The sequence below is a fragment of the Homo sapiens genome, chromosome X (assembly GCF_000001405.40).
Source record: "Homo sapiens chromosome X, GRCh38.p14 Primary Assembly".
Classification (NCBI taxonomy): Eukaryota; Metazoa; Chordata; class Mammalia; order Primates; family Hominidae; genus Homo; species Homo sapiens.
In genome coordinates, this window is record NC_000023.11 from 134,709,275 (window position 1) to 134,721,800 (window position 12,526).

General features: G+C 42.5%; 1 protein-coding gene across 5 annotated transcripts in view; it reads right to left on the reverse strand.

Annotated features, from left to right (window-relative positions):
* The window catches only part of PLAC1 (placenta enriched 1), a 198,485-nt gene that overhangs the window by 143,437 nt on the left and 42,522 nt on the right, over nt 1-12,526 (reverse strand). Inside the window, exon 1 of one of the 5 annotated variants that reach the window (XM_011531260.3) lies at nt 4,491-4,678. The exons of the other annotated variants lie outside the window; for them this stretch is intronic. The gene's annotated coding sequence lies outside the window, so the exon portion shown is untranslated. Of the gene's footprint in view, nt 1-4,490; nt 4,679-12,526 lie in introns of those variants that run through there. 5 annotated transcript variants of the gene reach the window in all.

Below are 12,526 nucleotides of genomic sequence, written 5' to 3' on the forward strand. Positions count from 1 at the left end.
TTGTGAAGAAGAGTAGTGAAGGGCACATTGTTAAGGCTTATTATAATGTCATGGCATTAAAACAACGTAGGCCAGGCACAGTGGCTCACGCCTATAATCTGAGAACTGTGGGAGGCCAAGGCGGGCGGATCACTTGAGGTCAAGAGTTTGAGACCAGCCTGGCCAAAATGGTGAAACCTGGTTTCTACTAAAAATATTAAAATTAGGTGGGTGTGGTGGCGTGCACCTGTAGTCCCAGCTACTTGGGAGCCTGAGGCAGGAGAATCGCTTGAACCCGGGATCGCGCCACTGCACTCCAGCCTGGGAGACAGAGCGAGACTCTATCTCAAAAAATAAAAAATAAAACTATATAGTATTGGCAGATGGATAAACAAATAGACCAGTGGAATATAAAAAGGGCCTACAAACAACTCAGGTAAGTCTATGAGAACTAGGTAAAGGACAGAGATTGATTATAAATCGTGGAGGATAAGATATAGATTATTTAATAAATGGCATTAAAATTATTCATATGATAAAAGATACAATTAGATAACTTATTCAAACCCTACATAAAAATCAATTCAAAATGAATTAAAGATCTAACTGTTAAAAGCAAAATTTTACAACACTTTGATGCAAATATAGAATACCTTTATGACCTCAGAATAGAAGAATTCATTAATCACACACACAAAACTTACAAATTTTAGTAGAAAAGACTGGTAAATGTGACCACATTAAACATTATAATGTCTATAAGAAAAAATGACAGTATAAAGTTAAAGATAAGCCATATAGTGGGAGAAGACACTTGCCACACATGTAATTGAAAAAGAAACAGAGTCAAAAAAGACATAAAATAAATGCTATAAGTCAATTTTAAAAGGCAATCAACACAATGGAAAAAGGAGCAAAGAATACCAACAGACAACTGGCAGAAGACACTGGAATGGTCTAGAAATATATGCAAAGATACTTAACCTCACTAGTACTCAAGGAAATAAAAACAACAACAAAACAAGATACTGTCTTTACTCATCAGACAGGCAAAAATTAAAACTCAAAAGTTATCAATGGTATGGTGTCATGGGAGCTCATAAACGACTTATGGGACTGTTACTCGGTAGAGCCACATTGGAGAGCAACCTGCCAGTGCCCAGAAAAACTAAAAGTGTATGTACTCTTTAACCCAGAAATCTTACTTTCTAGAAGGTACATACTCTAGAGAAATTCCAATCCAGTGTGCAAAGACACAGATATCTCAGTGTTTATTGCAAGTTGTTTGTTTCTAATACTAAAAATTTGGAAATAAATATCCACCAAAGGAGGAATGAATAAATTAAATGTGCTGTGGTGGTACTATAGGTTACTGTTCAGCAGTAAGAATGAACTAGACCAATAGGCACCCACATGGACTGATCTCAAGAACATAATGCTAAGTTTAAAAAAATACAAAAGTATATCATAGTTTGGAAGAAAACATACCAAATTAATAAAAATGAGTTGACTGGAGGCAGGAGATAAAGGGGGCCTCAACTTTTCATGTAGCACTTTTTTTTTAATTTAAAAAGAATGGAAGACACAGTAAATACAGTAGTGTATTTCTCCTCTGCATGGTGAGAACACAAGTGTTTGCTATACTCTTCTCTGCACTTTTCTGAATTTTAAAAGTTCTCAATATAAATGAAACGTGTGTTAAATACCCAGTTTGGGAAACCACTGTACTAAGATACTAATAACTCTATATGTTAACCTATCCAGAGGCATTTTTTATTTTTAAAGAAGGCTGCAATATTTAATCCAAAAGTTGAGGCACTGTTGTATTTGTTGTCACTTATGAAGTGTGGGTTTCCAAGGCAAAGCTTCAAAGGGCATCATTTTCCTCCTATGTACTAGTCCTGCAATTTGATTAAGTTACCACCACTTTGACAGAATGATAGTCTTCCCTTAGGTTGGACAGCTCGGAGAAAGGGAACAGAGCACACTTCCCCACTCAATTATGCTTTCATTCTTTATAAATAACTCTGTTTTTAAAACAACACCACATAAAATAAAATTTAGAGCAAGATTTATAGAAACACAGACACTTAAGTGCAAATAAATTCTTTCAAATGTTATCAAGCTCTTATTCTATCTTATTCATCAGCCTTGAGTAGATTTCACACAATTTAAATATTTCTTAGCTTGTCTGCAGAGTATCAAGGCTTGTCTGTGGCTTTGAGACTTCTACTCCCTTCACCCCAATCAACTCCACTAGTTGTTTAAACTGCTCAAATCTTTCTTCAGCCACAGTTTTTTAAGTGAGAGTCTTTTTATTGCTTTGGGCATGTTCCTTTTCCTAGCCAGTGCTCAGAATTTTAACTATCTAACTATTCAATTTCTCTCTGTCGCTTTACATGGAGGAGAAACTGGATTTCTGTTCCACACAGTTTGGCAAAGGCTAGCAGGGAGTGAGAGATTACAGCCAGATGTACATCTGCATGTCAGCAGCAAGAAGGTCTGGGATGGTGCTTTTTCAATCAGAAGGGAGTAGTCATTTTCCCTCTCTCTAAGGAGAGGGCCTCCTCCCTCCCATCAGATATTTGGCTGCTAGATGTTCACTGATTAATTACTGAGGTCGCATCTACACACAATTGGTTTCCTTAACAATTCCAGCAGGCTTCCAGCTCATTCTTGAATGTGCTTCTTATTTTTAGAAGAACTATCCTCTTTTCCTCCAGCATACATTTGAAAAAGAAAATGAAAACTAGTTGAACAGAGCAAAGCATAATTTGTAAACATATAAAAAGAGATTCTACCACAATTTCTAATATTAGAAAATCAAGCAGCAGTGGGAGAGTATTTTTAGGAGCAGGGAAACAGTTCTAGTACCCTTCAAATCAGAACACCAAGCTCATCATTTATTCTATTTTCATGAAAGGTGTCATTTCCAATATTCTAGAAATCCATTTTATATTGGAAAGGTAAGGAAAAGTAGACACTCCTTCTCTGTACCCCAACAGCTCCCCATACCCCATCTGACTTCCCAGTAGAAATAGCATATCAAATCCATTATTAGTAAGTTCCTTTTTCTAGTTTGACTCATGACCGAGAATTTCTATCTGTTTTTCAAGACAGATAAATGTGGTCCCGGCACAATCACCCCACGAAACCTAACCTGGAAGCTACCTCTTGGGTCACATTCTCATTTCTAAGAAGCTCAACATGCAACACAGCCAGTGCTAGAAGTACTTGATTCTGAGAAGTATAATTACAGGTTCTCCAAGACAGGTCAAATTCACAAGTATGAGTTGACAGTCACTACTTTACCTAAGATCACATCTCTGTACTTGGGGAAATACTGGAACCTGATAAACAAGCAGTAGCTCTACATTACTGACAATTAGATCTGCAAAATTTGGGGGCCAATCCACCTGAAACTGTGTTTATGCAAGCTCTGAAAAGCCGTATCTACCCATCCTGCCTCTCCCGGTTCATCTCTCTCCACTCTCCCACATAACACACGCCTTGTAGGCCACTCTGATAATCCTCAACTATGATATAACTGACAGATGATGTGCACATGCATGACACACTCCCATGAGTGTCCTTGGGGAATCCGCAGCTATTAATTGGACCCTTTTCTCTAACTCTCATCAAAACAAACTGAAATGCAAGCAGGTGAGAGTGATGCTATTATTGTAAAGATAACCTTGAATCCACTCTAACTTACAACTAAAGTAAATTATTCAGCAACTCTGGTACATTAATTATTATCAGTAACAAATTACTTGTGTCACACTTTCCAACCAATCACAATACATCAACTGTGGTTGACAATGGCTACCTTTGTCCTATCAGTGACCTGCTCTCTCATGCCTCTGCCCATGCTTGCCCCCTGTTCCCCAAAGGTCCCAAACCCCATATGGTAAGTCCGCAAAAAAGTTTGTTGATGGATTGAATAAATGAATGAATGAAGAGCTTCCGACCTCAGATAAGCCTCACATTGCATTTGCAACACTCATACATTGGGATGCAGCCATGCACCGATGAAAAATAATATTCTGTTATGAATAGTAAAGTCCACTGTGATTATGGGCAATTTTCTTAACCAGAAAGCATTGAGTAGTAAGATGCTTTGCAGCTGTAGATTTTTATTAAAGACTGTTTAAATAAACATAAAACATATTTGCCGGGAGAGGGTAAAAAGACAGATGCAAATTTCAGTCACAAAATAGGTACATTCATTATTTTTTGCATTTGCTTTAAAATGTGCCCCTAAAACAGCAATTACCCTTAGAAGTCATATTTGACCAGCGATAGGGACCAGAAACAGTGACTTAATTTGGGCAGGAGTTCGCTGGGACATAATATGGCTACTGTGCCTGGAGTCTTTCTTGGTCATAAAAGCAGTAAGGAAGTATGACATAATGGTGTGACGGTAAATCACAGCCTAAGCCATTTTGGTTGGCAGAATTTGAAAGACAAATAAACATTACTTCAGGAGCAGAGAAGACGGGCCTAATTACCTCCGTGCCTAGGCTGGGATCCCTGCGGCTTGTGTCGTTCCTGGACTCAGGTGTGTCTACACGGCCAGGGTCCACGTGTACAGGGTCCGGATGGTCCCGTGAAGAGGTGGGTCTGCTAGGGATGTAGGGACTGGCAGCCCCACCTCCACAACCTCCTCTCCAGGGAAATCAGGCAGCTGGAACCGAATGAGAAGGGCAGCCTTGAGGGGCCCCTTGTAGCCTGGAAGGAGTGGGATTGGAGGAAGAGAAGAGTCTGGTCCCACCCACTCTGCCTTGGAAGTGGTGGGGAGTTGAAGAGCTGATTGCACTTGCAAATCTCTGCAATTTTTACCTCAGGCCAGTCCAAATTACCTCCTCCTTCCCTTTTGTGGTCTCCCAGCCAGGCTATAGCTGTGGCCCAAGTGGGCTTTGGGGCTCACCTAGGGATGGAGCCTACTCTCCTTGCTTGTTGCATTTTCAGAGCTGAAAAACCTCCAACTTTTGTATTTTTTGTTTTACACTGACAGCCCAGGCCATTCTCCTTTCCCTCCTCTCCTGCTTCTCTCTCTCTCTATCCCCCCATCCCTCTCCCTCTCTCTCTCCCCTTCCCCTGTATGGAAACTGGCTGCCTTCTCATAGCGGAGTAGAAAATAGAATCCCTGGCTTTCACCAGGGCACTAACCTTTCATGGCTTTTCTCACACATATACCCCCAATCCATCCAAAATTGCAGTAAACACACGCAACATAAAATTTAACGTTTACCATTTTAACCATTTTAAGCGTACGATTCAGTGGCATTCAGTACATTCACAATGTTGTGCCACCAGCGCCACCCTCCATCTCCAGAATTTTTTCATCTTCTCGGATAGAAACTCTGTACCCATCAAACATTAGCTCCCCATTCCCCTCTTTCCCAGCCCCTGGCAACCCCCATTCTACTGTCTGTTTCTATGAATTTAACCATCCTAGAAACTTCATGTAAGTGGAATCTTGCAGTGTTTGTCTTTGAGTGACTGGCTTATTTCACTTAGCATAATGTCCTCAAAGTTCATCTGTATTGTAGTATGCATCAGAATTTCCTTCCTTTTAAAGGCTGAATAGTATTCCATTGCATGTGTGTACCATGTTTTGTTTATCCAATCATCCGTTGATAGACATTTGGGTTGTTTCCACATTTTGAACTCGCCTTTGAACTGTGTAAACATTAGGAATGCACACCCAAAGTGCTGAACATTTCAGGAAGAGAATGAGGTATCCCATCCCCCTCTCTCCACAATCCTCGTCTTTGATCATCACACCCCTCTGTATATATTGATAACACAGATCAGTTGCTAAGCACTTGGCACACTTTATGGCATTTAATCCTCACAACAATGCAGTGAGGTAGGTGTTATCCTCATTTGACAGAAGGTTATACTGAGACTCAGAAAAGCTAAGCAACTTGCCCAAAGTCAAACAGTTATAAGTAGCAGAGCTGAGATTTGAAACTCCCACTCAGGCTTGTCTGACTCCAAAGCCCACTCTAAACCACCACTCTAGTGCCTACCCAAAGCCCAGGGGCCCTTTGCCACCAGTCTCTACTTGCTTCTGATTTGGGGTTGGGTTGGTTTTTAAGAAAAGTAGAGCTGGCGTTAAACACTGACAAACCAGTGGCCACGTGCACTTGGAAGGGTCCTTCAAATCTTCAAATCCTGCCCACGGCCCCCCACCCCCCTAACACACTGAGTTCTGAAACCGTTCTACCTTGGGCTACTGCTATTCAAACCGAGCAGAGAGCATTACTGAGATGCTGGGATTTGTTTTAACCTTGTTTGTCAATTAACAGAAAGACTGACCTAGAAGACCAGGGACTTCATTTGTGTCCTTGGATCTGTAGCTCTTTCATAAGCTATTTGTTTCCCTCTCCTGGGGCCCTCTGCTCTTGTCTGCCTTGAATGGACTAATTAATTACAGAGAAGCCCGGCATTTTGAAATGCTAGAAGAATTAAGCTAGAGGCTGTTGGCAGATGTTTACCTGTTAGTGTCTTAGATACCTGAGTGACACTAGGTTCCACTAAGAGGAAGAAGACCTGAAGAACTTTGTGGCTGAGACTGGGGTGTGTGTGTTACGGAGGGGTGTCCCTGGAGGTGGGAGAAGGCCCAGTGGGGCAGGAAAGTTGCAGACATAAAACACAAACTTCCCTGCCTCAGTTTTGCCAGGAGATGGCTGAGTGCACAGCTCACTCTGACACTGCCCCAAAGGCCGGCCAGAGTGGCCATGCACATGCTGGTCCTCTGGGCAGCAGCAGGCCCAGCTGGGTAAACAGAAGTGCAGGAGCAAAACAAGCCAATCAATCACAGCACAGCTCCAGCCTACCCCAGTCCCCTCCTCCCCTTTCCTTTCCAGCTCCCCCGGGTCTCTCTAGCAAGCAAGTGGGCCCAGGTGGCCTTTGATCTGTCTCCTTTGCTCTTTACAAGGGGGAAATGTATCTATAGGAAGAGTGAGCTCAGCCCCACCTGTGACCCACCCCTAGGGTTCCTTGCGGGGAGCCACGAGCTTCACACATTCAGCTGCTAATGGCAAAAAAGACAGGCAGACCTGGGATGCTTGAAAAACTTAATGTTGGCTTATGGTAGGAGGGCCTGGGGTGGTTGACCTTCAAGGGTTACAGAGATCAGTAGGGCATGTTATCCTTCTCAAGCACTGGAGCATGGGCTATAGCCTATGCTAAGCATACAGAGCCCTGTCAGGGTTGAGCTGAAACTTTGCCATTGCCCTTTTGCCTTGTGGCTTGAGTTTTCCATATACTCCCTGTGTTTAGGCGTGGAGCTCCCACATTTTTGAGATCCCTCATCCTGCTAGCAAATGGATGTATTATCCAGTGTCAAGTCACTGATTCCCAGAGGGCCTTCTTCCAGAGGCCCACACAGTGTCATGTTCCACTGGGCGAAGATCTTCTGACTGCTGTATCCCCAGGGCCTAGAACCATGCTAACACAGAATTTGTGCCGATTAAATACTTGTTGAGTGAATGAATGAACTGGCATAGCGTAACGGTTAAGAGGTTAGTCTCTGGAGTCAAACAGACGGGAATTCCAGCCCAGTTCTGCCAATCTGACCTTGAGAAAGTTTACTTACCTTCCCTTGGCCTTGGTTCCTTGTCTGTAAAATGAGAATAATAGTACATAACAAGACTATTGTGGGAATTAAAAGAGATAATGCATGTAATGCACTTACCCAGTGCCTCACCCATAATAAATCCTCAGTAAAATGATAGCAATTTTCATTATCTTGTATACCAACTCCAAGCAACTGGCCCAGGCTGCTGGGAGTGCTGATCTGAGGATTCTGTGGTCTAAACCTGACTCAGTGAAAAAGAGTACTTACTCTAAGGCCTTCTATGGGTAAAGATGGTAGAAATAGGAAGGCATTTGCTGGGTACATGTGCGTGCTGGGTACGTGTGCGTTCTGGGTAGATGGCCAAACTGAAACCATTTGAAATAGTCTTCAGGGAGAAGTACATTGCGCACATATGACAAGTAGCTTTTTTCTTGAGACAGAGTCTTGCTCTGTCACCCAGGCTGGAGGGCAGTGGTGCAATCTCGGCTCACTGCAATGTCTGCCTGGGTTCAAGGGATTCTCCTGCCTCTGCTTCCAGAGTAGCTGGAATTATAGGTGCGTGCCAAAAATTACCCCTGCTAATTTTTGTCTTTTCAGTAGAGACAGGTTTTCACCATGTTGGCCAGGGTGGTTTACAACCTCCTGACCTCAAGCGATCCGCCTGCCTCAGCCTCCCAAAGTGCTGGGATTACAGGCTTGAGACACCGCACCCAGCCAGACAAGTAGCTTTTATCAGCCACACATGTGGGGGTGAGGAAAGAACTTTGCCTTCAGTGGGGACTGTCCCCCAGAGTGAGGCCTGTCTCCTAAAATTCTAGAGCCATTCATTAGCCCATTACTTGCCTAAGGGTTGGAAATAGCATTCTGATTTTTCGTCAAAAAGGCCCCAGTCTGAGTCTGTTGTCAACAAAGAGGCAGGCCCCAATGAGCAGTCACTCACCTAGTCCTTAGTGGAGTCTTTGCTCTGTAAGCAGAATAGCTGCCTCACCATGTGCTTGAATTTGTCAAATGTCACACACTCTATTTCAAACATGTGAGATTTGACATCATGTGAGCAATATTGCACTCATTTCCAACCCTATTTGAACTTCAAAGGGCATGTCAGCCACACTGGCCCTACCTAAATGTGTGACACTTTTGATCAACTGGTACCTGATGGCCAAGAAGACTTAGAGGCCCATGTGTAATCAGAAGTGGAGCCCAGAAAGGGAATTTTGATTAAAGGTAAATGAACTCAAGTCTTGGAAAGTTTGAGTTAAACTGGAAACACAAAGCACATGAGGTCAGAGCAAGTCTTAAATTCTCTATCTGAAAACACTCCAATGACATCACCTTGCATCTGGGAGTGTCCTTGGGGTCTGGAGAAGTGTAAGCCAGAAAGCCTCCCTGGAGAAAAAAAATTCCCCAGAATCTCTCCAGAGACTTAGCTCCTAATAAAGCTGTGGAGTGGGCTGTAAGGCATACTGTGAGGGTGGGGTGTCACCTTTTTTTTCCCACTGCCTGATCCTGCTTCACTAAATAACAAATTTGCCCATGGGCATTACTTGAAAAGTACGTAAAGATCACCCTGCTCTCCAGAAGTACCTCCTTCTTGGACTTCAGTGAGTCACCGTTTTTACAGCTTTGGGGCTTGACATTCCTCACGTTCAGGGAATTTGGACAGGATAACTTAGGGAGGCCTTAGCAAACAAGAACACGTGGCTCAAGCAAGTGGATGCCATCTGGCCAGTTAGTAAGGCTTGCAGGCAAGGGACACCCAACAGGAAACCAATTATGAAAGTAGTCTCAGGGCCTGCAGCCCCGCCTGGAGGGAAGAGATCTTAGAGATATCCTAGGGCCTGGCTACTTGAGGCCACCAGGGCCTGGATATAGCAGCAGAAAGGGGAGATTTGAGGGCAAAGGAGACAAATGTTTATATTTTGCCTGGAGCCATCCTGGGCAGTCCTCTTCTCATAGTCCCCCTTCTCTAGCAGAAGGAGGGGAGACAGTTGAAAGATTGCCCTCTTCCTTTTCCATGCTCACCTCCCTTTCTTGCCAAATGCAGGAGGTTCAAAAGGGGCCTGTGAATAATTGTGTGGGACAGGCTGCTGACTGGCTGCTGACTGATAAAGAATTTGTGATAGTAATTTTCTAAATAGAGGAAATTTCACCCAAACCCTTTTCACCTCACACCTGGGCAAAAAATATTCAGAATAGGCAAATACATAGAGACAGGAAGCAGATTAGTGGTTGCCAGGGGGAGGGGAGAATGACGGCTTAGTGTGTGTGGGGTTTCCTTTTGTCATGCTGAAAATGTCTTGAAACTACATAGTGGTAAGTATTGCACAACACTGTGAACATAACAAATGTCACTGAGTTGTACACTCTGAAATTGTTGAAATGGCGAATTTTATGTTATCTGTATTTTATCACACAAACACAAAAATCCTCAACAAAATACTACTAAACTGAATCCAACAACAAATAAAATGAATTACGCACAATGACCAAATAAAATTTTTCCTAGGGATGCAAGGTTGGTTCAACATAAGAAAATCAGTCAATGTAGTATGCTGCATTAATGGAACAAAAACTACCTGTTAATCTCCATAGATGCAGAACAAGTGTTTGACAAAATTCAATATTCCTTCATGATAAAAGCACTCAGTAGGCCAGGCGAGGTGTAATCCCAGCACTTTGGGAGGCCTGTAATCCCAGCACTTTGGGAGGCCGAGGCGGGTGGATCACTTGAGGTCAGGAGTTTGAGACCAGCCTGGCCAACATGGCGAAACCCCATCTCTACTAAAAATAAAAAAATTAGCTGGGCGTGGTGATGGGAGCCTGTAATCCCAGCTACTCGGGAGGCTGAGGTGGGAGAATTGCTTGAACCTGGGAGGTGGAGGTTGCAGTGAGCTGAGATCATGCCACTGCCCTCCAGCCTGCATGACAGAGCAAGACTCCGTTTCAATGAAAAACAAACAAACAAACAAAAAACACTCAATAAACAAGAACTAGAAAGTAACTTTTAATCTGGTAAAGAACATCTATGAAAAACCCACAACTAACATCAAATTTAATGGTATAAAACTGTAAGATTTCCCCCTAAGATCAAAAACAATACAAGAATGTCCACTCTTACCACTTCTATTCAATATTATACTGGAAGTTCTAGCTGGGCTAAATAGGCAAGAGAAAAAAATTAAAGACATCCAGATTGGAAAGGAAGAAGTAAAAAATATCTCTATTTGCAGGTGGCACAACCTTAGTTAGAAAATCCTAAAGAATCCACAAAAAACTATTAGAGCTAATAATCAAGTTCAGCAAGGTTGCAGGATGCCAGAAAACACAACAATCAATTCTATGACTAAGCACTAACAATGGACAACTTGAAAATCAAATTAAGAAAACAATTCTATTTGCAATAAAATAATAAACTAATTAGAAATAAATTTAACAAATGAAGTGCAAAACTTGTACACTGAAAACTATAAAACACCATTGACAGAGAATAAAGAAGGCCTTAGTAAATGGAATGACATTTCTTGTTCATGGATTAGAAGACTTAATATTGCTAAGATGGCAGTACTCCCCCAATTGTTCTACGGATTCAGTGTAATCTCTAATAAAATCTCAGCTGGCTTTTTTTTTTTTTGGCAGAAATTGACATGTTGATCTTAAAATGTACACAGTAATGCAACAGACCCAGAGCTAAAAGTGTAACAACTAAAACTAAAACTCAGAAGAAAACATAAGTGTAAATCTTCCTGACCTTGGATTAGGTAAGAAATTCTTAGGATGATAGGACAACAAACACGCAAGTGACAAAGGAAAAAAAAGAGAGATAAATTGGACTATATGAAAATGAAACACTTTTATTTCTAGAGCACAGTGTCATAATCATAGCTTAATGCAGCCTTGACCTCCCGGGCTCAAGCCATCCTTCCACTTCAGCCACTTTAGTAGCTGGGACCACAGGAGTGTGCCACCACACCCAGCTGAATTTTTTTTATTTTTTGTAGAGATGGGCTCTCACTATGTTGCCCAAGCTGTTCTCAAACTCCTGGGCTCAAGTGATCCTCCTGCCTCAGCATCTCGAAGTGTTAGGATTACAGGCATAGGCCACTGTGCCTTCCTAGCATGAAGCACTTTTGTACTGCAAATTAAACCACCCAGAAAGTGAAAAGGCAACATGCAGAATGGGAGAAAATATTTGCAAGTCATATATCTGATAATGGACTTGTATCTAGAGTATCTAGAATTCTCACAACTAAACGATAAAAAGACAAATAACCTAATTAAAAATGGGCAAAGAATCTGAAGAGTCATTTCTCCAAAGAAGATATACAAATGGCCAATAAGTACACGAAAAGATGCTCAACATCATTAGCCATTAAGGAAAGGCATATCAAAACCACAAAGAGATACCTAGTGAAGACATCTATTAGGATGGCTATAATCAAAAAGACAGGCTGGGCATGGTGGCTCACGCCTATAATCCCAGCACTTTGGGAGGCTACAGCAGGAGGATCACTTGAGGCCAGGAGTTTGAGGCCAGCTTGGGCAACATAGAATGACCCCACCTCTGAAAAAAAAATTAAAAAATTAGCCAGTATGGTGGCACACACCTTGTAGTCCCAGCTACTCGGGAGGCTGAGGATTGCTTGAGCCTAGGATTTTGAGGCTACAGTGAGCTATGATCGCTGCCACTGCACTCCAGCCTTGGAAATAGAGTGAGAACTTGTCTCTTAAAAAAAAGACAGGCCGGGCATGGTGGATCACACCTGTAATCCCAGCACTTTGGGAGGCCAAGGCGGGTGGATCACAAGGTCAGAAGTTCAAGATGAGCTTGGCCAAGATGATGAAACCCCGTCTCTACTAAAAATACAAAAATTAGCCAGGCATGGTGGCATGCGCCTGTAATCCCAGCTACTCGGGAGGCTGAGGCAGGAGAATTGCTTGAACCTGGGAGGCAGAGGT